The sequence below is a fragment of the Homo sapiens genome, chromosome 5 (assembly GCF_000001405.40).
Source record: "Homo sapiens chromosome 5, GRCh38.p14 Primary Assembly".
Classification (NCBI taxonomy): Eukaryota; Metazoa; Chordata; class Mammalia; order Primates; family Hominidae; genus Homo; species Homo sapiens.
In genome coordinates this window covers 152,447,324-152,472,442 of record NC_000005.10, presented here as the reverse complement: position 1 = coordinate 152,472,442, position 25,119 = coordinate 152,447,324, and the positions used below count along the sequence as shown (strand labels likewise).

General features: G+C 39.2%; 17 annotated features.

Moving 5' to 3' along the window:
* Positions 4,224–4,393: an enhancer, noted in NCBI's record as "experimental_82750 CRE fragment used in MPRA reporter constructs". NCBI's record gives its function as "activates a minimal promoter by MPRAs in K562 erythroleukemia cells, with activity observed for the non-introgressed 5:151847696 variant allele {active_cell/tissue: K562}" and the evidence as "EXISTENCE:reporter gene assay evidence [ECO:0000049][PMID:34662402]".
* Positions 5,444–5,613: an enhancer, noted in NCBI's record as "experimental_82746 CRE fragment used in MPRA reporter constructs". NCBI's record gives its function as "activates a minimal promoter by MPRAs in K562 erythroleukemia cells, with activity observed for the introgressed 5:151846476 variant allele {active_cell/tissue: K562}" and the evidence as "EXISTENCE:reporter gene assay evidence [ECO:0000049][PMID:34662402]".
* Positions 5,871–6,040: an enhancer, noted in NCBI's record as "experimental_82741 CRE fragment used in MPRA reporter constructs". NCBI's record gives its function as "activates a minimal promoter by MPRAs in K562 erythroleukemia cells, with activity observed for both the introgressed and non-introgressed 5:151846049 variant alleles {active_cell/tissue: K562}" and the evidence as "EXISTENCE:reporter gene assay evidence [ECO:0000049][PMID:34662402]".
* Positions 6,578–6,747: an enhancer, noted in NCBI's record as "experimental_82735 CRE fragment used in MPRA reporter constructs". NCBI's record gives its function as "activates a minimal promoter by MPRAs in K562 erythroleukemia cells, with activity observed for both the introgressed and non-introgressed 5:151845342 variant alleles {active_cell/tissue: K562}" and the evidence as "EXISTENCE:reporter gene assay evidence [ECO:0000049][PMID:34662402]".
* Positions 8,816–8,985: an enhancer, noted in NCBI's record as "experimental_82727 CRE fragment used in MPRA reporter constructs". NCBI's record gives its function as "activates a minimal promoter by MPRAs in K562 erythroleukemia cells, with activity observed for the introgressed 5:151843104 variant allele {active_cell/tissue: K562}" and the evidence as "EXISTENCE:reporter gene assay evidence [ECO:0000049][PMID:34662402]".
* Positions 10,022–10,191: an enhancer, noted in NCBI's record as "experimental_82721/82722 CRE fragment used in MPRA reporter constructs". NCBI's record gives its function as "activates a minimal promoter by MPRAs in K562 erythroleukemia cells, with activity observed for the introgressed 5:151841898 or rs4958306 variant allele {active_cell/tissue: K562}" and the evidence as "EXISTENCE:reporter gene assay evidence [ECO:0000049][PMID:34662402]".
* Positions 10,022–10,206: a biological region, named in NCBI's record as "Neanderthal introgressed variant-containing enhancers experimental_82718 and experimental_82721/82722".
* Positions 10,037–10,206: an enhancer, noted in NCBI's record as "experimental_82718 CRE fragment used in MPRA reporter constructs". NCBI's record gives its function as "activates a minimal promoter by MPRAs in K562 erythroleukemia cells, with activity observed for both the introgressed and non-introgressed 5:151841883 variant alleles {active_cell/tissue: K562}" and the evidence as "EXISTENCE:reporter gene assay evidence [ECO:0000049][PMID:34662402]".
* Position 10,106: a transcriptional cis regulatory region, noted in NCBI's record as "Neanderthal adaptively introgressed variant 5:151841898 (GRCh37/hg19 assembly coordinates) or rs4958306 in the experimental_82721/82722 CRE". NCBI's record gives its function as "modulates activity of the experimental_82721/82722 enhancer by MPRAs in K562 erythroleukemia cells {active_cell/tissue: K562}" and the evidence as "EXISTENCE:reporter gene assay evidence [ECO:0000049][PMID:34662402]".
* Positions 15,456–15,625: an enhancer, noted in NCBI's record as "experimental_82697 CRE fragment used in MPRA reporter constructs". NCBI's record gives its function as "activates a minimal promoter by MPRAs in K562 erythroleukemia cells, with activity observed for the introgressed 5:151836464 variant allele {active_cell/tissue: K562}" and the evidence as "EXISTENCE:reporter gene assay evidence [ECO:0000049][PMID:34662402]".
* Positions 15,456–15,758: a biological region, named in NCBI's record as "Neanderthal introgressed variant-containing enhancers experimental_82696 and experimental_82697".
* Positions 15,589–15,758: an enhancer, noted in NCBI's record as "experimental_82696 CRE fragment used in MPRA reporter constructs". NCBI's record gives its function as "activates a minimal promoter by MPRAs in K562 erythroleukemia cells, with activity observed for both the introgressed and non-introgressed 5:151836331 variant alleles {active_cell/tissue: K562}" and the evidence as "EXISTENCE:reporter gene assay evidence [ECO:0000049][PMID:34662402]".
* Positions 17,098–17,267: an enhancer, noted in NCBI's record as "experimental_82684 CRE fragment used in MPRA reporter constructs". NCBI's record gives its function as "activates a minimal promoter by MPRAs in K562 erythroleukemia cells, with activity observed for the non-introgressed 5:151834822 variant allele {active_cell/tissue: K562}" and the evidence as "EXISTENCE:reporter gene assay evidence [ECO:0000049][PMID:34662402]".
* Positions 22,320–22,489: an enhancer, noted in NCBI's record as "experimental_82672 CRE fragment used in MPRA reporter constructs". NCBI's record gives its function as "activates a minimal promoter by MPRAs in K562 erythroleukemia cells, with activity observed for both the introgressed and non-introgressed 5:151829600 variant alleles {active_cell/tissue: K562}" and the evidence as "EXISTENCE:reporter gene assay evidence [ECO:0000049][PMID:34662402]".
* Positions 23,489–23,658: an enhancer, noted in NCBI's record as "experimental_82670/82671 CRE fragment used in MPRA reporter constructs". NCBI's record gives its function as "activates a minimal promoter by MPRAs in K562 erythroleukemia cells, with activity observed for both the introgressed and non-introgressed 5:151828431 or rs72793415 variant alleles {active_cell/tissue: K562}" and the evidence as "EXISTENCE:reporter gene assay evidence [ECO:0000049][PMID:34662402]".
* Position 23,573: a transcriptional cis regulatory region, noted in NCBI's record as "Neanderthal adaptively introgressed variant 5:151828431 (GRCh37/hg19 assembly coordinates) or rs72793415 in the experimental_82670/82671 CRE". NCBI's record gives its function as "modulates activity of the experimental_82670/82671 enhancer by MPRAs in K562 erythroleukemia cells {active_cell/tissue: K562}" and the evidence as "EXISTENCE:reporter gene assay evidence [ECO:0000049][PMID:34662402]".
* Positions 24,208–24,377: an enhancer, noted in NCBI's record as "experimental_82666 CRE fragment used in MPRA reporter constructs". NCBI's record gives its function as "activates a minimal promoter by MPRAs in K562 erythroleukemia cells, with activity observed for the introgressed 5:151827712 variant allele {active_cell/tissue: K562}" and the evidence as "EXISTENCE:reporter gene assay evidence [ECO:0000049][PMID:34662402]".

The following is a 25,119-nucleotide window of genomic DNA, read 5'->3' as shown; positions in this document are numbered from 1 at the left end:
CATTTTTATTAAAAAAAAGTACAATAATGATGCTAATGCCTTTTTGAGCTTTAAGTATCAAGAGCTTTGCAAACATTATTGCAGAACTTCTCAGTCCTCCTGGCTGCATCATAGTGACCTAGATAAATCACTAAAAACAACAACAGAAATAAACCTGCCAAGCCAAGGCAGCACAATTACATCAGGCTCTCTGGGGAGGTGGGATGCAAATATTGGAATTTTTCAAAGATCTTGGATGATTCTAATGTGCAGTGAGGATTGAAAATCATGGTATTTTCTCTTTTATCCTCAGAACAATACTGTGTTATTTGTATCATCACCTTCCTTGTATGGATGAACAAGTCTCAACAAGGTTAAATAACTTGCCTCCTATAACATAACAGAGCCTTGACTCTACCCAGGGCTGTCTGACCTTAAAAACCATGATCTTGACAATGACATCAAATTGTCTTTTAGTAAACTAGAGTGATTATGCAAGGAAACTGGGTGCAAAGCAAAAGGAAAAGACCAGAAGATTTCCAAAAACATAGTCGAGTCTCCAAGTGGTAGAATTACAAATACTTTGTAATTTATTTGTTTACAAATATACATGCTGTTTTAGCTGATCAATATGCCTTTGTGTTGTAAATATTTGCACACGTGTGTATGTTGTATATACACATTATGTCATGATTACTGCTCTGTTGCATCTCACTTCTTCAAAACCTCAGCTATGCCTTTGCAGCACATCCACTGTGCTGCCATCCAGAACACCACCCCAACTTCTCTGGAGATAATCATGCTATTGCATAATGGGCTTATTCAAGAAGTTCAGGTAGCTCACCCGCTCCCACCCCACTTGGCTCCAGACTCCTCCCTACTTTAACAGAGCAATTCCATCTTCCATGCTATTTCTGAATATCAAACTGCCCATATTCCCAGTTTATCTTAAAACTCTAGCTCTGAGTTCAAAGGTAACATTTCAACATATTAGAAATAAGCATCAAAAATCACAGCCACCCAAGGATACTGAAGCTTACAAATGAACTGAAATTAACAAAAAATCATATGTGAATCACAAGCTAGCTTAAAAACTTAAAATACACCTATTTGAAATGTTAATATAGTCAAACAATTTATTCTGACATCATTTAAAAACAAAAGTTTTACTGAACTTTCGAAAAGTTGATTTAGCAAAATTGTGTTTTAGGTGAATATAGTTTCAGACAATCCCTCCACTGCAATTTCATCCTGGTCTGCTGAGTAAATATAGAATGTGCTTTCTTAAGGAGATGAACACTCAGTTGAAACAGAGATGCACTATTTTCTGATAATGTAGTTCTCAGAGTGCTTGTTTTGACTGTCAACACTACCACAACCACATATATTGTCCTTAAAATTTTTCTCATCTGTATTACTCAAGAAGCCCATTTTTTATAAATACAGACCTGTGAATTTGGCTCACAGGGTAGAAAAATTCACAGAGCAAAGCTTACTACTAGAAAAAGAACTCCAGGACTCAGGTCCCAGACCCTCAATCCAGGACAGTAGATGAATTAATTTTCTACAGCTGCTGCAACAAATTGCCATCGACTTAGTGGCTTTCACACACACACACACACACACACACACACGTATTATAGTTCTGAAGGTCAGAAGTCTGATAGGGGTCTCACTAAGCTGTGTCTCTTTCTGGAAGCTCTAGGAAAGAATCTTATTTCTTGCTTTTTGCAGCTTCTAGGAACTTCTGGCATTGCTTGGCTTCTGGCCCCTTCCTCCATCTTTAACCAAAGCCAGAGACATGGAGCTAAGTCCCTCCCATGCTGCAGTCTCTCTGGTTCTCTCTTCCATAGTCACATCTCCCTCTGACCCCAGGTAGGAAAGGTTTTCTGTAACACTTGGAAGAACTCATGTGATTAGATTGAGCTCACTCAGAAAATCCAGGGTCATCTTCCCATCTCAGGTCCTTAATTTAATTGTAGCTGCAAAATTTCTTTTGTCATGTAAGGCAACATATTCACAACTTCTGAGAATCAGGATGTGGGCATCTTTGTGGGGAGGCACTAGTCTGCCTGTCACAGTAAGTGTCAGTATGATTTTCTGTCCTAGCACAGCTGAGAGATAGGACATTCTCGTTAACAGCAACTTGCCAAGAAAATGACTCCCAGGCATAGAAATGCTCACCCAACGAAGTCCATAAGAATGGGGGTAGAAGTGAGAAAGAAAAACCATTTTACAAAGCGATTTCTTTAATCACTGATGCAGTCTATTTTAGAAATAGTATAAACCCTTAACACTGTAACTATACCAGCATTTTTTCTTGCATATTCTCATATAATACTTCTATAAATTATACGCAAGGGACACGTTTTACTGGTACAGATACACAAGAAAGCAAGATTAGGAGTATTTCTATAGAAAAAATATATGAATTTTCATGTAGGAGCTCAGCAAATGAGAATTTACAGGTTGTACTTTCATATACTATTTATTTCCGATCTTGTAGGAAATCTGAACTTTACTGGCAAGAAAATGCATGTCCTTAAATGGGTAAAAAATAACTGGTAACTCAAATTCCTGAGCGCAAAAAAGTCGAGCCTCTAAGTCAAATAGTCCTTTCCATTAGTAAGTTGCTCAAGGCAATGCCACAGCCCTAAATCAAGAGATCTGGCAATGCCTAACCACAGGTGAAAACCTTTTATCTCTGACATCTTCTCTTTGCATAGCCCTTCGACACAAAGACCCTTGGCCGGCACTGACCACCCTGACAGAGAAGTGGCATTTACCTTCAATGCCCTGAGCTGTCCTTCCTTTTCCCTCCCTGCAAATATCCAATCCTTCCACCCTCTCTCCACACTTCTTTAAAAGATAAAGAACTGCACTCTTTGTCTTTACTGAATAAACATTGTATTGTAAGCCAGGCCCTCAACTAGCTGGTTTGTTCCTCATAGACCCTGTAGCCGAAATGTGGATGGCTCTCATTAGAAGTCGAGGAATGTGTAGCCTCTGTACACACTACCTCTTCGTGTACACACTACCTCTTCATGCACAGATAAACGAGAAACAGCTAAAAAGTTACCTAGTTAGACCTTTTCATAAGTTTTGATTAAAATATACAAATATTATTTTAAGGCATTTAGATCAAATTTTCATGTGCATGTTTTAGCCAAGTTTTAAGGAATAAAAAAGAAAGGTTGATATCAGTCTCTTCATTTAGTCTATTTAATCTTTATATTTATTCCTATGGCTACATAGAACCACTCTAGTTTTAACTCCAGGGTGCTTTCAATACAGTGTACTCTCCCTAGCATTAGTTTTATTCCTGGGCACAATTTCTAAGGGGCAAATTGATTGCTGTTTCTGGTACATCATAGAAAAAAGGTCACAGCAAGCTACCATCTTCATTGGCAAGCATTAAGTTAAATTGTTAATTTGCCCCATCCAGAACACTTGTACAGAGTTTAGTTGGAAATGAAAGCTTCTGATTTTGGATCTTGATCTTTGTCAATAATCTTTCAGTCTTTTTTGCTATTTCCTCTGTTCCTAAGCCAAACAAACAAACAAACAAACAAAAAACCCCAAACCAAAGACAAATAAAAAAACTACAAAGCCATTGGGCTAGGGAGTGCCTGACTTACAAGTTAAATGTTTCTTGGATTAATTTAGTAGTTATTAAAGTGGAGTAGCTCTTCATTTCCCTTTGACTGTATCACTTAATGAGAATTTGTTCAGTAAAATAAATCTTTCCAGGGTTCAGGGAGCAGACATGTCCACAGTTATCCTCCCCAAAAACCTGCATCTAGGTTCTTCAGGGACTTTATCTTTTTGCTCTTATTAGCACAACACGCAAAAATAATGTTTTTATCTAATAATATAGGTGTGTAGCTTAAAAGGCAAACTGTATGACAACAGCACCAACACCAGTTGCCTTCTGCTTGACTATGCCACATAATGAATTCCCACTCAAGATAGCAATGGCCTAGGTGACTTAATTCTCCAAACAAATGAATTCCTTGATCACTCATCAAAAGGTAGAGGGAAAAGGTATTTTAATGTGCTCCATCAAGTCAGGGTGAGGGAACTCAGGAAACTTCTGAGCAAAGTTTTCTTGCTAATAAAGATATAATTCCCACAGAAGAAATCTTTTTGGTGACACAGTCTGGACCATATTTATTAACCCTGTTTCTAACATTACCCCTGCTGTCTGCCTGTCCCCCTCACCCACTTTTTATTTTTTGAGATGAGGTCTCACTCTATCACCCAGGCTGGAGTGCAGTGGTGCAATCATGACACTCTGCAGCCTTGACCTCCCATGCTCAGGTGATTCACCCACCTCAGCTCCCTGAGTAGCTGGGACTATAGACACATGCCACCTTGCCTGGCTTATTTTATTTTGTTGGTAAAGACCGGGTTTTGCCACATTGCCCAGGCTGGTCTTGAACTCCTGGACTCAAGTGATTCGACCATCTCAGCCTCCCAAAGTGCTGGGATTGTAGGCACCATGGCTTATCATGGGCCATCACCCACTTTTTAAAACTGTTTCTGTGGAACATCTGACTATGCATACATCTCTTCGGATGGTGGTTTGCAGGTAATAAAGTTTCAAGTTTATGGAAGCAAATGTATCTTTGTACTTATTCATTTACAATCAACCTCTCACACCAACTCAAAAAAGGAAGGCCCTTTCTTATCTCTCCTGCAAGAAGGAGTTAAAGAAGTATCTTCTGCTTTCCCCCTTTACTTCACGAGAATAGAGACAGAAGAGTCAGCCCTGGCTATCACTTATTTCCATAAGTCACTTCTGCCCATTTGCTAGTCATAACGCAGTTCTTCTTGGAATACAGATACAGTGTTGTCTCTCCAACTTCTATATTGTCTCATGCAGATTTGCAAGAATATTTTCAATTGAGGATTCATAATGCATTCAGGTCACAGTCATCACAATCTTTCCCCCTGCAACAGCTTGCTTTATAGTTTTCCAATCTTCTCTGCAAGTGTATGAGTTGTTACCTCTTGAGTATTCATCTTTAAGATATTTCCTTCTCTTGTCATGTCCTTCCTTCACGGACACTCTAAGTCTTGCCTATTTCTTTTTAATCCCCCTCGGCCTCCTTGTCATTGAGAAAATACTGGCTAGAATGCCAGGCCCCTCTTTCTCTTCCTCTCCCCCAGGTCTGTCTCAAATGTTTCATAAAATTTTGGTCCACAACCACCTCAGATTATGCTACAGAGATGGCCAGGCCTTCTGCCAACCCATAGCCCATTTGCTTCAACAATTTTTTGGTTCAAAAGTGAAAATTTTCTATAGAGTCAGCAAGAACTTAGTTTCCTTCATACAGCCAAGATGGATGAGTTGAACCTGAACTCAGGGTGCATTTTCACTCAAATCTCTGTTGGCATCAAGCTCCTTGGCAATTTTTTCCATTATCACAGTCAAAATAAATGAGCATCTTTTAAATTCTAGGTCTTGCAATTTGTAGGGGAATTAGGTAAGAATCGTCTCCATTCAGGAGATATCAGAACAGTCACAGTTGGACCCAACATAAGACGACTTCTTGTTTTCTTATCACTTAGTTTCTACTCATAACTGAAAGGCAGCCATTTGAACTTACAGCATCCATGATACCCCCAGCTAATACCTTCCTCTTTCCCAGTCCTCTATGAATTGTAGGTTTAGTCTGATTTCAAGCTTCAGTGAAATGCCCAATCTTCCTGCCAGTGGAATCTGGGAGCAACGTACCATGGTCTGCCTGAAAGACCTACAGCTACAGCTTGATCTTCAAAACTCGGCTAACAAACTTTCAGGCAGCTACCTCAAGGAAAGGAGGGCTCCATCAAAGACAACATTAAGCCCTTGGATCATCCTTGCTTGCCACTGTCTTCCCAGCTTCCCAAAACTGACACCAGATGTCACTAGTCAAAACTTTAACATGTGTCAGCACAAGGCAAGATAATTTCAACTCCTCCAAGATTCCTGGCTATTTAGCAGGAATGGAAGACTTGGCTGACACTGCTAAGACCAACAGCTTCCAGAAACCAATAGAAATAAGTCCAATAATGCTATACTGTAGATACCTTTGCTTCCTTGGGTCCAGGTTCACCGGTGCTGCCTGTGCCCCTAGAGTGGAGTTGACATGTTTCCATTTTAGGGAGGTCAGACTCAGACAATCCCTGAGTACTTCACTCTCTCAGCAAAGTCCAAGAGAGGCCACTGGTTGCAGTAATCTCTGTGCTTATTAATAGCAGATGACCTTGTACTCTAGACCTGTTTGTGTGTCTGAAAGACACAGGCAATTAGAAAAATTTCTATAATTCTGTTCACTTAACACTTCCCACTGCAGATTGAGTCTGCACCTAGAGACCTTCAACACAATTCCTCATGCCTGCCAAAGGTGGTTGGGCTGTCTTGGTCAGACCTCAGCGTCAGAGAGCCCAGAACAAGATGGACCATTTCTTACCCACACACTAGGAGAGGACGCACCAGTCTCAGGCCAGGAGTTCTTGGTAGAGACCTCAGAATGCATCTTCCCCATCTCGACTGTAAGGGGAGAAGGTGGGCTGTGAGTTTCCAGGTCACTTACAGCAGGTGTGGCGAGGGCTGGGGATTGCTTCAGGGAAACACCATGCACCCTAATGGAATGATGGGATATGGCAGCGTGGGTTTTCAAAGACCAGGTGTATATAAGAATTACCTGAGAGTAGTTGAAATGCAAATTTCCAAGCTTCCCTTACGCGGATTCTGTTCCGTGATAAATGCTCTGGGTGTTCCTAGTGCATGTGAGCTGAATTGCCAAATATTAAAGAAAAAGACCTAGCATGACAACTAACCCTGGAGGGCAACCCCTTCTGATTCATGGGAGGCTTCTGTTCCTAGGACAAGAGTAGCCTTGTCTCCTGGCTGTGTCAACGCTTTAACAATAATAAAGTTGACTTTTAGAGAGTACTTTTTCTTTGCCATGTGCTGTTTAGGGTGCTTAATATGCATCATTTAATTCACCTTCACCAGTGGATGCTAATATCATCCCTGCTTTATAAAAGAGGTCTAGAGTGACTGCTACTTGCCTGAGGTCACACAGTTATAAGTAATTAAAACCAGATGGCCTCTGACTCAAATCCCTGATTTCTGATCAGAATAATGACTCCCATATCCTAGTAATGTTCCCTCCCTGCAGCTAAAAATATTGAAGTGTGTCCTGACAACCACCTGGCTTGCAAGCACTGTTCCTAAACTCATACAGATCTGTGGTCTGGGTGATACCCAGACCCCTCCAGTGAAGCTGCATAAGGTCACAGCCCAAGAGTGATCCCAGAGACAGCCATAGAAAATGATGGTGGGGAACATTTACTCAGGCCTCATTTCTTGTTGGATGAGATTCTAAGAGCTCTACATGAGTTAACTCATTTCATCTTTACTATAACCCTATTATAATAACCACTTCATAGATGGAGAAACATGAAGGCCTAAAGAAATGTAAAAACAGACAAAGGCAGTACTATATATAATATGGAACTTTGGCCCACAAGCTGCAGCAACCTGCCCAGAAAACCAACTTTGCTTATCTACATTGACCAGCCCAGAGAACCAGCCTGCTGTAAGTCAGGCTTGTAGGAAGTCTGACTGCTATCTTTAGTAAAAATCTAGGAAAGCTAAACAATATCTTCTGTAACAATCAGCCCCCAAATAGCCAGGACTTGACGAATGACCTAGAGTTGAATTGAGTCCATGAATTTTGGTCCCTATTTCCAACTTAGGACCAGCCAGAGAAAGTGAAATAAGCTTCCTCACCAATCTCAGAGGCTGCCTGATTTCTAGGTAGCCACCCTCCAGCTTCTCCAGTAGTCTCCAAACAAGCCTTTTCTTTTTTCTACTATAAAGCTTTATCACTCCTCTGCCTTTGAGTCTGCCAAACACAAATGGTGGTTGACTCCCTTGCTATAGCAAGCTTTGAATAAAAAGCCTTTGCTTGTTCTCGTTGGGTTGATCTTTGTTGATTTCCACAGGTGCCTAAGATTACATAGCATTCAAGTGGCAGATCTGGGATTCAAAGTTAGGCACCTGGGCCTCAGAGTCCACCATCTTACCGCTAGTTTGAGAATGTAAAGCCTGCTTGTGAGCTTTCAGATTAACTCTTAGATGAGTAGCTGTTACCTCTAAGCCTTTGAAGATGGCTGATTCCCCAGATAAATCTACCGCCTTCATTACAATCGTCTAGCCCAGGGTTTCTCAGTATCAGCACTGCTGACATTTTTGGCCTGATACCCCTTTGTTGTGGGGGTTGTCCTGTGGATTGCAGGATGTTTAGCAGCATCCCTGGCTTCCAACTACTTAGGTGCCAGGACCGCCTTTCCAGTTACAACAAAAAATATCTCCAGATACTGTCCTGAATGGTGGGGGTTGGGGGAAAAATCTTTCCCACTGGACCACTGATCTAGAACAGTGTTTCTAAAACCTTTAATGTGAAACTAATTACTTGGGGAACTTGTTAAAAATTCAGATTAATTCAGTGGGCCTGGGGTGGGGCCTGAGATGCTGCATTTTTAACAGTTCCCAGGCGATGTCCGATGTTGCTGGTCTGAGCACTACACGATAGAAGCAAAAATCTAGAATATTTTCCTTAAAAATGTAGATTGTTCAGACCCACCCTAGAAGATACTAATTCAGAATACCTGGGTTGGGGCTCAGGTATCTGTAGTTTAACAAGCCTCTCAGGTGTTTCTGGTGCACAATAAAGTGTAATAACCCTCATCTTGTTTTAGTAACCTCAGGTCCAGTACAAAAGGTTTCAGATATTCTGAGATCAAGCTTAGATTTTCCTGGGGACACCACCCTAAACGGGGTCCACAGCTGTGAGAAAAGACATTGTACCAGCAGTGAGAAGTGTGCTGGGCTTCCTGCCCCAAGGGAAGGCTCTTTCTCTTGAGATGCCTGAAGAAAAATCCTGAGGCTGATACCGGCTGTCCTTGGATAAAGGAGGACTTCACAAACATTCAAGAAGCAGACAGGGGAGGGTAGTTCAGGAGATCCATGGAGCAAGGGGCAGTCAGGAAGTCTCCTAGTATAAATAAATTCCCGATATTTCTTCTTTTATTGAGTCAATCAGCTTAAGACTTAAAAAGAGACAGAGAAGCAAAAAGAGACAAACACCACCACCCCTCATCCGAGAAAAGTATTTGCCTAGCTTGGTATTGGTTATTACTTATTCTGAATCTTTCTTTCAATGGGTATAGATTTTCTGTCAGAAGAATTAATAAAATTATTTATTGCATTAAGATTGTTGAGTTAAAGTTTCATTTATTCACATGCAATGTAAAAATCTTAAAGAGATTTGGGGAACAGACAGAGATGAATCAGAGAGAGAAAGCCTAACTTGCTCTACAGTTACCTTGAGTCTCTAATAGGGACATACCTTAAATCCTCGCTACATACAGAGGAAGTCAGAGGGGAATTATTATACCATTTATAAGCTAAGCCCTTTGTTAGGTACTTTATGTACATTATTTAATTTGGCCTCGAAACAATCCTGTGAAGTAGATGTTATTGCTTTCATTTTTCAAACCAGGAACCAAAGTTCAAAGAGCTTAAACAATTCTTTGAAGTTGCATGGTAAGAAGATGGAAATCTGAGTGTCCTCTTTGGTTTCTTTCTCTACTTTACTACCTTCATTAAGTTAGCAATCTGCCATTTCTATCTCTACTGAAGGCTCAAATTATCATAAATGGGAGGTATTTTGAGTCTCTTAACTCTCTAGTTTTCCAGTGTTACTGTCAACCAATTTACTCTCCACAGGGCCACAGAGTGGGGTTTTGAAAGTGCAAACAGAATCATGATACTCAACTCCCACTGTCTTCCCACAACCCCCATTTCACCCTCAAAATGTCTCTCATTGCCCTTGATATGAAATCTAAACTGCTTATGCATCTCACAAGGCTAAGGTTTTACACCTGATTACCTTTCCAGTTTCACTTCTCACAACTCCTCTCTCTCTTTTGCCCACTCCCACTGCCCTTGCATGCTTTGTTCAAATCAGACTGCATTTCTTTTATTTCTTTTAGCGATTCCATACATGCTGTCTCTCATATCATTCTCTCTCCCTGAAATGCTTTCCCTTCTTTGCCCCCACTAGAGAGAGATGCGACTTCTTTGGGGAAGCCTGTGGTGCTTCTGCTTTGTGTTCTCATAGCACGTTGTACTTCCCTATCATGACACTCAATGCATTTTGTTATGGTGGCCAGGAAAATTCACCTCTCCGGTCTCTGAAGGAGGGGGCACAATTCAATGGCCTGAGCACTGAAGCCATATCTTCACCAGCTGCTCCCAGCCTATGACTGAGCCCAGGGGAATGCTAAGGCCAGTCCATTCCTGGTAGATGTGAGATTCTTCAGATTGCTGGCTAGGCTGGAAGACTCTCTTTATCTTTGTCAAAACTTTATGAGACTTGCACAGGAGATTTTTCCTACATATGTTCCTTACTTCTTTCCCTCCTCCACAGGGGCCAGACATGCATTGTGGTCTAATGGCTCTCCCAGCCCCCTCCGGCTCCCTCTCCATTTCCCTTTGCAAGCATGTTCTCTGAAAAATCTCTTGATGCCTGTTTCTCAGAGGAACAGAGCTAAGCTACTCATTTAATTTTCTGTTTCTGCTCAGTAGAGTATGAACTGTGTGAAAGAAGGAGCCAAGTCTGTCTTGTTCACATTTATAACTTCTGTACCTAGCACATAGTAGCTACTCATAAGTATTTGTCAGGTCAGTGTTGTTAAAGTTTGGATCTAATACTACCTTTGCTCTGACTCCAAAGCCCATTTTCTATTCACTTCCTCATGCTTCTTTCTCGCTGCTCCTGTCCTATATACATACACACACACACACGCACACGCACACACACACACACACAGCAATACTAAGCATGACAGGATATTCAGATATAGAGAATGATGACCCTTACTCCCCCCAAAAAGCTAATTGTACTGGAAGACTGGATGTGATCTGCAAAGAGCCTTTGTAGGGTGGGGATGAGGGAGGATGGAGAAAAGAAAAATATGTAGATATTTGATAATCATGTGCCCTGCCACCAAGACTTTGTTCTTTTACTGCTATATCCCCACTCCCTATATTAGTATCTGCCACATAGTAGGCACTTCATAACTTTTTGCAAAATGGATGAAGGAGTGAATTGAACCATCCAGTTCTATGGATTTTTCCATTCTCTCCATGTATTTGGATGCCGTTTAGACAAAAGTTCTAACACAAAACAGCTATCATAAATGAGCCTAAACTTGACATTTATTTTCCGTTTTGAAGATGACATTCCTCCACATTTTGTTCTGGGAAAAACAGCACTTGACAAAATGTTTTTTCAAGTCCCTGTAGGGTTTGCACTGACTGGGAGACTTTGCTCCTGAGATTCTAGGAGATATGCTTAAGAAGTTTCTAAGTTAAGAAAGTTAACTATTACCAATTTGTCCTTAAGAAACTAAAAACTTTTGCCAGACAAAAGCTTCCCTAATGAAAGTAATCCAACTAAAGCAGCATCAGAACACACTATGCCCAAGGCCTGTGCTGTGAACAGTGAACGATGGAAAGAGGAATGAGTTGTGGCTCCTGTCATTGTAACTCTGATGTAGCTGGAGGTGAGGACTTGTGACAGATACCTGGTGCTCACTTAGTGATTCTCACAGATGCTCAAAGTTCCAGCCATCTTTGAAGATGCAATTGAGTTGCCATCAACTCTATAAAGTTTTCCCAGATCCCCAACCTTAAAATTCATCTTTTTTTTCCTTCTGTTTCTCTCTGCATTTTGTTCCACTTTTCACAGTCTATCTTGATTTAGAGTTAACTGGTCACACATATGTCTGTTTATTCCCCCTGTTCATTTAAATTGACTTGATAGTATATTCCATGTGCCAGGTATGGGAGTAACACTAGAATTCAACAGCATTTTATGGCTGAAAAGATTATTTAAATCCCCAATTTCATTTTCTTTTCAGTCCTGAACAAAACTCTCTGAGGCAGGAAGGACTGATACATCAAAAGCCACTTTACAGAGGAGGACGTTGAAAGTCAAAAAGGTTGGAGGTGAACAGCCCCAGGTTTGAATTCCAGCTCTGCCATTTACTAGTCATGTGATTGTGAATATTCATTTATTGCTCTGTGCCTCAATTTGCCACAATATGGGGGATGACCTTAGGTCTTACTTTATAGTTATGAATGTAATTAGGAAAAGGTCTTAGCACAGGGTGCCTGATATTTAATAAATAATGTATCATAATAAACAATTTAATAAATAACTTATTAATAAACAGCAGCAGTAAATGCACAAATAAAGGTATGTTGCATGTCTAATTATAAGGCATATGTTGAAACCAGATCTTAACTCTAAGTCCAGGACTCTCTTGAGTATATACTGCATTGTCTATATCATATCATAAGCTTCTTCATGGCAAAAAGTACTTTTAAGTTATTTTTATATCTGCAGAAAGTTTGGGGCAGTATTTTTCAATTAATAATGGCTCAAAATTGTTAATTAAATAGAAATAATTATTTCACTAAATTTCCAGTCATCATCATTCACTTCTGTAACATGCCAGAGTACCTTGCATATAATGCTATTGTAGTATGCATCAGCTATGATTGTGTTGGATTTTGAGTGATAAAAAACGTGACAATAGTACCTTAAATCATAGAAGATTATTTATCTCATGCAAACAAAGCTGGGATACGTTACTCAGGGCTTTCACAACAACAGAACAATGACATGAAAGAACTAGGCTCCTTCTATCTTTCTATTCCTCCTTTTGTCTTCATTGTCTCAAAATAATTGTTGAGCATTGAGCCAGGATCTCCATCAGCCAGTTTATATTTCAGGTAGGAAGAAACGTAAAGGAAGATGTGTAAACAAGTAAAGGGGAAGAACTACATTACTGGCCATACTTAGCTGCAAAAGAGGAATGGATTTTATATACATAAAGACATCCAGTCTCTTTGTTAAAAAGATGACAAAAAAGAGAGATTGAGATAGGAAGGGATCAGATAAGTTTAGAGTGAGGCAGCATACAGTGTCTGCCTCAGGAAGATCTGATAAATTTTATATTAATTTGCATAAAATATTAATTTACTGCCTTATTATATAATCAAGATAATTTTAAATATAATTTAAAACCCTCACTTGCCAGGGTGGCAAAAAATTAAAAATTAGTCACATTTTAGAGTTCCTCCCTAAAATCATGTATTTATTAAAGTGCTGGGTGAGAATGGGGGTATTCTTACATGGTACCAGAAACAAAGAAAAAAAAAATCCTAAGTCTTCCATCTACTAGTAAATTGCTCATTGAATCTTTCAACAACGGGGATAAATCTTAAAGGCATTTTGCTAAGTAAAAGAAGTCAAACCCCAAAGCATATTTTATGTTTTCATCCATATGACAGTCTGGAAAACGCAAGACTACAGGAATGAAAAACAGATCAGTGGTTTCTAGGGAATGGTGGATAAAGGAGTGGTTTAGTACAAAGAGGTGATGGACTAGGGAGGGACTGGAAAGGTAGAGAGTGAGCCAATGCATAGCACCTGCCTTGGGAAGATCTGATAAATTTATTTTATATTAAGTTGTATGAAATGTTAAATAACTATATCTTTCAGGGGAACTTTGAGGATGATAGAAATGATCTACATGGTACTGGAGTGGTGGACAATATGATTCCATGCATTTGTCAAAATCCATAGAACTTTACATTACAAAGAAAGAACATTAATGCATATAAACTATAAAATAAAAATAATCAACCAGAATGTTGGGAGATCCCAAGATAAAGTGCAAGCTGAGAACAAAGAATGTCACTGTATTACAAATGTATGATGTAACTGTACTACAGGGGATAGGGGAAAGGTAGCTGGCCTAAGAAACTTTGGAAAATGGTGTTTAGACTGGAAACTGTAAGATTAAAAAATAGGAACTGTAGATAAACACTATACCCTAGTTGGTAAAGTTGTTTAACATGAAGGTGAAGATGAACAATTCTGAAACTGTTTTACATATATACTGGAGTTGAACAAATAAGTAAATAGAAGGTGGTGGTAGGTGCCAGGTTTCTCATCACCAGAGAGGAAAGTTGTAGATAAGTAAGAATAGAAGGCTACAATAACACGGTGGTACTTGATTAGAGACATCAATATGAACCCATATTTAGCTTAACATGCATATAGAGATGGATAGATATAGAAACAATTATAGTTAAATATGAAATCATAGGTTAGTATACATACATCTTACCTCTCTCTGTCTGCTGAGAGGGCTTTAAGATAATGACACCCCATTAGCAACGATCACTCCCAGTGCCCAAGCCTTGGTTTCAAAATACCAACCTCCATATTTGATAGCACAACAGGGTGACTATAGTCAATAATAACTTAATCGTACATCTAAAAATAACTAAAAGAGTGTAATTGGATCATTTGTAACACAAAGGATAAATGCTTGAGGGAATGGATATCCAATGGAGAATGGATATCATTCTCCATGATATGCCTATTTCACCTTGCATGCCTATATCAAAACGTCTGATGTATCCTATAAATATATATACTGACTATGTACCCATGAAAATTAAAAATTAAAAAATTAAAAAGAAATACTGCCATCCAAGAGGGAAATCCAAGCTTCTTGGAGAAGTGGCTAATTTTAGGGCTTATAGCAGGCAAAATCTATAAGTTAATTCTGGAGCATTTGGCATTACCAGGATGTTGGGAAATTTTGAAAAAATAAATCAATGGAGGCACGACAATGGGACACAAGAGCTAAACTAATGAAGCTCCCAATGACCAAAGTTGGAAAAAAGTTATGCAACAAAATAAATAACAGTGTACTAGATCATAACACAAAATATACACTTCATATAAATGAGATCAAAATGATATAAATAAGTGGTTGAATAAATAAATAGAAGAGACAAATCTTCCTTACAAAAGAATTCCAACTATACATAGAAACTACCCTCTCCAGAAGGCAAAGCTTAATTTCTCCCCAACCTTTTAAGTGTGGTTGGACTTAGTGAATTGCTTCCAAAGTATAGAGTATGAGAAGGGAAAAATAGCACCTTTATAGTAGAGAAACCTGGCCAACATTATCTAAACAAATTACTCAAGGTTATTAACAGTGATATTATGTACACTGGATATGATGTAATCGAAAGGGCACTTGACCCCTATGGTATTCTTTTCAAAAACCTATAACCTCAGTCTAGTCATGAGAGAAAGCTGAGACAAACCCAATCTGAGGAACATTCTATAAAATACCTGACCATTACTTCTCAAAACTGTCAAGGTCGTGAAAGATAAGGGAAGACTAAGAAACTTGTCACAGATCACAGAGGAGACTAAGAAGACATGATGACTAAATGTGGTATTCTGGATTGGTTCCCAGAACAGCAAAAGGACATCCATGGAAAAATTAGTGATATCTAAATAAAGGCTAGAGTTAATGGTAATGTGTCAGTATTGGTTTCTTAGTTTTGACAAACGTATGCAATAATAGAAAGTGATGACATTAGTGGAAACTGAAACAGGTGATACAAACTTAAGTGAGGGGATATGGGGAATCCCTGTACCAGTTTTATAACTTTTCAGCAAATCTAAAATTATTCCAAAACAAAGAGCTTGTTATTTTTAAAGTTATATTCTTATTTTTTTCAACTCAATATTTACATTTAAATTTAATATAACGTTTAAATTTCACTTCAAACTCTCAAATGCCAGGATGGAAACTGTCACATTTTGCACCGCCTCCCTGAAATCACCTATTTATTGAGGGGATGGCAGGGAATGGGGGACTTACATAATACCAGAAAAATAGAGGGGATATCAGGAGGCTTCCATCTATTACAACTGCCATGACGCCGCAGATTGTCCAAGTTCATCTGATCTATTTGAAGATGGGCACTCACTCCATTGTCCCAGTATCAAATGTGAGTGCAGCTTGAGGTGATCATTAGAAGTCCCACACCCTTGCCCAGACCCTCAGCTGAGATCGCATCACCTGTCTAGGTACTGTGAGGGAAGACACAGTGGCACAGTTTAGACACACATGGCTTCATTGCCTGTCATCTCATTCTTGGGGAAGCTAAATCTCTTTGCTTTGGAATAGGCCAGCTTCACTCTTTGGCAACTTTGCATTCAGAAAAGGACCTGACTGTCTCCCAGCTGCTCACTGATACTCTCTTTCATTTGTAGTCTTCTGTAGCTGGGAGATCATCATGAAGGAATGTTTCTGTACATTGACTTGACACTCGTTTTTTAAGCCATGATACTGCTTTACACATCTTTATATGCATGTCTGTCTCCCCATACTGTGATTTTCCTGAGGTTAAGAATTGTGTCATGGCCGGACACAGTGGCTCATGTCTGTAATCCCAGCACTCTGGGAGGCCAAGGCAGGAGGATCGCTTGAGTCCAGGAGTTTGGGACCAGCCTGGACAACCTAGGAAGACCCTATCTGTACAAAAAAATTAAAAATTAGCCCGGTATGTGGCACACACCTGTGGTCCCAGCTACTCTGGAAGCTGAGGTGGGAAGATTGCTTGGGCCTGGAAGGTGGAAGCTGCAGTGAGCCATAGTTGTGCCACTGCACTCCAACCTGGGAAACAGAGTGAGACCTTGTCTCAAGAAAAAAAAAAAAAGTGTCATATTTCTCCTCATGAACCCAGAACCTAGCACAGTGCCAAGTACATGGTAAGGTGTTAGTGAACATTTGTCAAACATATAAATGTGACTTGAACAGCCCCAGACCTCATTTTCTCTGATTTGCCTTTATCAACAGAGCTACATAATAGAAACACCTGGCAAGTTCTGGGGCTCGCTCATCACCATTGAATTGAAAGCCAGATGAGTTTCTATAGGTGGTAGCAAAATACTAGGATCCCCTTCTGTCTTCCTGACCAATGCTGCTTCCATAATGCCAGTGATGCTGACTAGATTAGGGTCCCCAAGGCATATGGATTTTTCTCTAGAAAAAATATCATCCTCATTCTCAACACTGTGCCCAGTGCTATGCAAATATTCTTCCCAAGATGTATTTGTTGGTTACTGCGTATGATTTAGTCCACTATCTCATGCCAAGAGTTCTCTCTGGAAACCAGGCAGAGCCAATATAGAGTTGCCTGCCGAAAGCTATATTGCATCTGACAAAAACAACCAGCTATGGCTGAGGTTTTTCGCTGGGGGTGAGAGTGGAGTATAAGCAAAAAAAAAAAAAAAAAATTGCTAGAACCTGTTAATCTCTGTGCAGCCAGCATCTAAGATTTTCAAATTGATAACTAAGTTTAATGTAATTTGGTATATTTGCTCAGTGTGCCATTTTACCCTTGGGTTAACTTGGGAAAATGAGGAAAGAGCTAATTGCTGTATTATCACTTCAACATAAGGGGTCAGTGCCCCAGAGCAGCTGCTGTTCTTATTAGATGGTGTCACCAGGGGGAATACTATTGCCTGTTTCCTTAGGTTCAATTTCTTTTGTTCAGTAGCTGTGTTTACAAGACACACTTGTCTGGTTTGCCCCGACACAAGGTGGCATAGCTGTAACTACACTTTCCTTCTCCCAAATCCTCAATATCAAGTTTGCACTAAAAAGACCACTCCGCTTTAGAAGGTAATGCATCTCTGGAAATACCTAATAAGATGGAGAAAAATAATACCCGAACAGATCCTGAGATCCATTCCTACCTCTTATTATTGGTTCCTGGGCAAGTTACATAATTTCTCCTAAACCCTAGTTTCCTCAACTGTAAAATGAGGATAACAATAGAAGCTACCCCTGAGGGTTGTTGTGAGGAATAAATGAAGTTATATAAATGAAATGCCCAGCCCTGTGTCTAGTACATGGTAAACACTCAATTGCTACCTATTATGATGATTATTAATTTTAATTTTAAGTATATTTAATACATCATACAAAATGGTTGAAAGTAAAGACAAAAGGTAATTACAAAATATAAAGAAGAGGTGCCTTAGCATTTTCTAAGTAAAGCAAAAAAATGAGAAGTAGCAAGGAGGAGAGGTGGCCTCTTTTTTTCTCCTTTCATTTATATTACAGTAGGTTACACTTTCCCTGTCTTTTCTTTGTATGTGAGGATGAGTGTAGTGACAAAGACAAGGAAAATTGAGAAGATCTGGTTTAATAAAATTACAATTATTTGGATAGTATATAAGGGTTTTCAATTATTTTCTCAAATAATTTATTGAGATCCAGAATAATGTATGAGAGGAATGTGACATTTAGGGTAAGAAGATAAACCTTCAAGTCTCAGCTCTTCCCTTTACCAGCTGTGAAAACTGAGGCAAGAGCCTCTTCTTAAAGTATCTTTCCAACGTATAACAGGGGCATGATTCACTTCATTTACTCTACCCTCAAGTGTCCTGAAAATCAAATTGAAAAAAATGATTTCAGAAATGCCTTAAAAACTAAAGTGCCACACAAAAAAACCTGCACATAAATATTTATAGCAGCTTCATTCATGCTATTCAAAAACTGGAAGCAATCAAAATGTCCATTGCTAAGTGAATGGATAAAATACTGGTATATTCCATACAAGGAAATGTGATTCAGTGATTTTAAAATCGCCTATCAAGCCACACAAAGACATAGGTAAATCCTAAATGCATATCACTGAGTGAAAGAAGCCATACTGAAAGGCTACATACTGTATGATTCCCTTTAAATGACATTCTGATGAAGGTAGAACTATGGAGACAATTTTAAAAGTCTAGATGCAAGGGGCACAGGGTTGGAGAAGCTGAATAGAGGAAGTACAAGTAAATTTTTAGAAAAGTGCGACTCTTCTGTGTGATATTGTAATTGCAAGTGCATGACACTATGCAACTGCCAAAACCTGTTGAGCTTTACAACACAAAAAGAGTATTTTAATGAGTGCACACTGAAAAGTCATTCAGGAAATTGGGGGAATCCCAGGATGGAATACAGAATGTGACAAAACAATCTAACTGTATTACAAATATATGAAACATCTTCACTGAAGAGGATGGTGGGGAAATAATCTAAGTAACTTTGGAAACAATTGTAATCTGTAAAACTAAAAACAAAGAAACTGTACATAAGCCTTGTACTCTAGCGATAAAGTTGTCCCCATAGTGTATGGGCTAACAATATTGACACTGCTATACATGCATACTAGAATTAGACAATTAGGTAAGTAAATGGTAGATGGTGAGATCAAGATTTCTCACTGTTGGAGTGGGAAGCTGCAGATAAGCAAAAGCAGGGATCACGAGAAAGGACGAGATGCTAGAATCATCCACATGATAATGGATTCAAATTGAAGACATCAGTATGAAGAATTTTAGCCTAAAATAGATACAGATGGATAGATACAGAAATATTTATAGGTATGATTATATGTATTAGTCCATTTTCACATTGCTATAAAGAACTTATCTAGGATTGGATAATTTATAAAGGAAAAAGGTTTACTTGACTTACAGTTCTGCATGGCTGGGGAGGCCTTAGGAAACTTACAATCATTGTAGAAGGTGAAGGAGAAGCAAGAAACATCTTACACAGTGGCAGGAACGAGAGAAGGGGAGAGGGGAATGGGGGGCAGAAGGCGGAGCTGCCAAACACTTTTAAACCATCAGATCTTGTGAGAACTCGCTATCACAAGAACAGCATGGGAAACCGGCCTTATGATCCAATCACCTCTCACCAGGTCCCTCCTTTGACACATGGGGATTACAATTTGAGATGAGATTTGGGTGTGGACACAGAGCCAAACCCTATCAATATATATCCATATTAATATATACTCACATACATTTCCTTGGTCTGTCAGATAAAAGGGCTGAGAAGCAGGGAGACTCCAGTATCAAGAAACATACCTTGTACTCAGATCTTGGTTTCCAATGCCCTTCTCCAATTAAAAAAAAATACAGATCTTAGTTTCCAACACCATTCTCTAATAAAAAGAACCACGGCCCACAGAAGAAACAATGGATTCTAGGATTGAGGTAGGAGATATGTAAGATGAGCATGGAGCATCTTGTAGTACCAGAAATAAGGGAGGGGAAGGAAGAGAGGGAAGGAAGAAAGGAAGGTCACAGTGATTGAAGTATGCCAAAGGACACAACAGCCAATCAATAATCAAAGCTGAAACTACTTGAGCAACAAAATAAAGTAGTATTGGAATATAGCCCAAAGTACAAAATAAATATCCACAAGTCTATAGTGATATAAAAAGATGATTGAATAAATAAATAAGTGGGGGAGAAGGGACAAACCTCCCATACAGAAAAATTCCAAATAATTGATGTAGATACTCTGCCCTCAAAGACACAGAGCACAACTCCCCACTTCTACAGTGTAGGCTTCACATCATGACTTTCTTCCCGAGACTACAGTGTAGAACTATAGGGGGTGAGGGGTTTTATAGTGGAGAAACTGGAAAACCTCTACCTCTGCCAGGTGATCAAGGGCAACATCGATAGTCATAAATCATGTTGATAGTGCGTAGCCCAAATGTGATGTGATAAAAATGGCACTTTACATCTGTGATCTTCCTCCAAAAGTCCCATAACCCTAGTCTAATCATGAAAAAACATCAATCAGACAAATTCCAATAGAGGAGCATACTATAATATGCTTGATCAGTACTCCTCAAAACTCTCAAGATTATTAAAAACCCAGAAAGTCTGAGCATTGTTCACAGCCAAGAGATGCCTATGGAGACATGACAACTATATACAACGTGGCACCCTGGGTGGGATTCTGGGGCAGAAAAGGAACATTAGGGAAAGACTGAGAACATATGATTAAAGTAGGAACTGTAGTTAATAATAGTGTGTCGATATATGTTCATTAATTATAACAAATCTACCATACTAATGTAAGATGTTAACAACAGGGGAAACTATGCAGGAGTATATGGGAACTCTGTACTACCTTCTCAATTTCCCTGTCAATCAAAAACTGCCCTTAAAATGTAAGTTTGTCTTCCACAATGGTTGAATTACCCAGCAATCCCATTACTGGGTATATACCTTAAGGACTATAAATAATTCTACTACAGAGACACATGCACACATATGTTTATTGCAGCACTTCTTATAATACCAAAGACTTGGAACCAACCCAAATGCACATCAATGATAGACTGGATAAAGAAAATATGGCACATATACACCATGGAATACTATGCAGCCATAAAAAAGAATGAGTTTATGTCCTTTGCAGGGACATGGATGAAGCTGGAAACCATCATCCTCAGCAAACTAACACAGGAACAGAAAACCAAACACTGCATATTCACACTCATAAGTGGGAGTTGAACGATGAGAACACACAGACACAGGGAGGGGAACATCACACAGTGGGCCTGTTGGGGGTGGGGGAATGGAGAGGGAATGTAGGACAAATACCTAATGCATGCAGGGCTTAAACCCTAGATTACGGGTCGATAGGTGCAGCAAATCACCGTGGCACATCTATACCTATGTAACGAACCTACACGTTCAGCACATGTATCCCAGAACTTAAAGTAAAATTAAAAAAAAAAAAGCTTGTCTAAAAACAAACAAATCTAAAACAAAGAATCAAACAAGAAACAAGAAGCAAAACAAGAGCATCTGAAACAAAAAAAGAAAATCTGAATATTACACGGTTATAATTTCTTATTACTTTATGAGATTCTTGTAATCACCCTGAGTGGAAGGCAGAGGAGTTATTAGTATCCCTGTTTAACTGAGGAGGAACCTCAGGATGAAAGAGAGTGATTTTTCCCAAGGTACTATAGCTATGAAGTACTGGATCCAGACTGCAAGCTTAGGCCATCTTATTTCTTCCCTTATTCCACAACCTTTCCTTTCAACCAAACATGAACATTCATGAGTAGGAGCTCTGTACATGCAGGTCACCACCACTGTATCCCCATCACCTAGTTCAGAGGTTGGCCCATGATAGCGGTTTAATAAATAATTTACTATGGACTGAGTTGTCACTCCCATTAAACAAGAAAAAAAATAGCTCAAGAGAGCTTACCCTCCAGATATGCCCCACACATCATACTATTGGTGTTCCGCATGGGCATCTGCCTTATTGCAATAACGAGAAGTCTACACATGTGAGCATGTTCTCAACAATATGGGAGCAATGTCAGTCAGCATTAAGTGACTGATATTCAACTGCATTTGTTGAACATAATGCAAGAATTTCTTGTGTAAAGAAAACAGCTATAGACAATCCAGAAGTCCTGTGCTGGACAAATGTGATGAGGATCGAAAAGTACTGCACGCAGCCAGAATATATAAGAGAAGAACAAAGATCTAAAATTTCATCATAGACAAACATGAAGAGAGATGGGGTATTGTTGAATAAAACCCAGACCCAATAAGAAATTATATAGATGGAGTTAAAGACTTTCTAATAATAGACACACTGACCAATTTGAAATTATTTCCCCAAACTTGATGTCAAGAAGAATATCAACAATAAAAATCCTTTGGGTAAAGTCACTGTGGTTGGCTTTTCTCAACTCTCCTAGTCATCTGGATCAAAACTTACCTTTTTCTTTCCCTGTCCCAGAGAGACAAAGGAAGGAGAGGTTGTGGTGGCTAAGACACAGGCAGATGCAGGATCTGCCTGAGAAAGACTCACTTCCAGAAATCATTGTTTTCTTCATCAAAAAATACTGTATGTTTGCAGAGTGCATAGCTGTAGAAAGTATCTTCTCTCTCAGAGCATGTTATTTGACTGCTTAAAATGCTCCACTGGCTTCCTGTCATACTTAATCCAACTTCGTCACCATAGCCTGTATGATCTTACATGATTGGCCCCGACTTCTCTCTCTGAATTTCCTTCCCAAAAATCACCTGCTCACTCAACACATTCCAGCTCATTGGCCTTCTCCTGTATCTTGAACATGCCAAGCATATTCTTGCCTTTGCTAGGTCTTTGCACTTGATGCTCTGTCTTCCTGAAATGTTATTTCTACAGATCTCAGATCAATTATCTCCTCCTCCAAGAAACATTGTCTGACACAAATTGAAATGACCAATTCTGAGTTAGTTAAAGTCCTCAAGAAGCAGATGCCAAGAGATTTATTGGAAGAAATGCCTGTGAGTGTGCTGGAGAAAATATCACACTGTGATGTAAGTCTGATCCCTATGAAAGAGAGAGGAAAGGAAAGAAAGTTGGGTAGGAAGCATCCTGGGCCATAGAAGTAGTTCTGATACGTTTTAGAAAGGCCTTGAGCCAGAGTCATGAGTGGAGGAGTCCTGCATCTCACAGCAAGGAGCTTGCCTTAGTATCCCTGTCATGTTCAGCCACTGGCTGGGAGCATTCTGCGGAAGGGTGATCTCAGCATGAGCATGGTGGTGGCTTCAGACTGCAGAAGCTGGGACTATCAATCAATGATGTTCTTCATGGTAGAAGATCTAAGAGTCACATTTTCATGGCAACCTCACCTTCCACTACAGCCCTGTGTACATCCATCACATCCCTTTGCTTGTTTTGTTACAGTACCTTTCAATATTTGATAGCATTTTATTAATTTATTGATTGTCTTTTCTATCCATTCTTTATTACCACTGAAAAGAGTGCAAATCTTATCTGTCTTGTTCACCACTGTTTCCCAGCACCCAAAATACTTCCTGATATATAGTAGGAGCTCAGAAAAGTGTTAAATGAATCTCCAGGTCTTTGGCAAGGGGAAAGGGAAGTGAGGGCTATCCCATGTTTCTTTTTTATGGTACATTCTAATAGATGGGCCTCTTCTAAAAAAAAAAAACAATCAACCTCATGTAGATTAAAAAGGAAGTATGCTGAACTATAGGTTTTCTCTTCCCCTGATTCACGTCTAACTAGGTTACTCAATAAACCATACTTTTTCTTGTTCTTTTCTGAATTTTTCCAGTATAAGATATTCTACTTAATCCCCAATCAAATGAGAAAACTATAGTAGCAGAATATGGTTTTACAGTGTTTTATATTCATAGTTTATAAACCACACCCACATACATTATCTCACTGAATTATCTGGAAAAATCCTACATGGTGCTTGTTATCATCTTCATATTCTAGATGAGGAAATTGAATGTAAGCACAAAGAAACCCAGAAAGAAGGAAAATGGACATATTAGGATATCTATGCTAATTCTCTCAGTAGAAGGGAAGAGACAATACATTTGGTCCATGTGAAATTTTTGATTATTCTCCCAGAGGGCTGACCTAAGTCAATGCAGTGATTCTTTGTAAGATCAGAAAATGAGTTTGAGACAAAATCTGTTATCCGACTCATTTCTGCTTGAAGTATTATCTTGCTTTCCTGACTCTGTTTTCTCACACAAAGCTGATTATATAACCCTAATTTTCTGGCCATCCACACTTCTGTGCCGAGAGTATCCTTTTTCAGTCTCTAAATGATATGCTAGCTAACAGCAGATTCTAGATATCAGCATTTCCTGATGAGGTTCAGAAAAGTTTCATTCATTTCTGTTTGTGAAGTTATTTTTTTTTCTTTTTCAGACTGTAGGCTTTAGTAGTCAGTGGGGAAAAGGGCATTTAGACAGCAATATAATCCTTCTCTTTGTTCACTTTCCTCTAAATTTTCTTTATAGACACATTTCACTTAAAATCGATATTTTTTATTTTTATTTTATTTTATTTATTTATTTATTTATTTATTTATTTATTTATTTGAGACGGAGTCTCATGCTGTCACCCAGGCTGGAGTGCAGTGGCGCAATCTCGGCTCACTACAACCACCGCCTCCCAGTTCAAGCGACTCTCCAGCCTCAGCTTCCCAAGTAGCTGGGATTACAGGCAACTGCCACCATGCCCAGCTAATTTTTTTGTATTTTTAGTAGAGATGGGGTTTCACCCTGTTGGCCAGGCTGGTTTCGAACTCCTGAACTCGTGATTTACCCGACTCGGCCTCCCAAAGAAAATAAAGTCAACATTAACCATCTATTTTAAGACTGCTTATGATGCTCATTTCAAGTCTCTATATATTTACCTTAATGTTATATATAGCACATATACCACTTATTTCTGATAGTATAGCTAGTGATTTATAGACTGATCAATCCAATTCTTGTTTATTATGACCTACTGTGTTGCATATTCCTGTGCAAGTTACCACAGTACCTA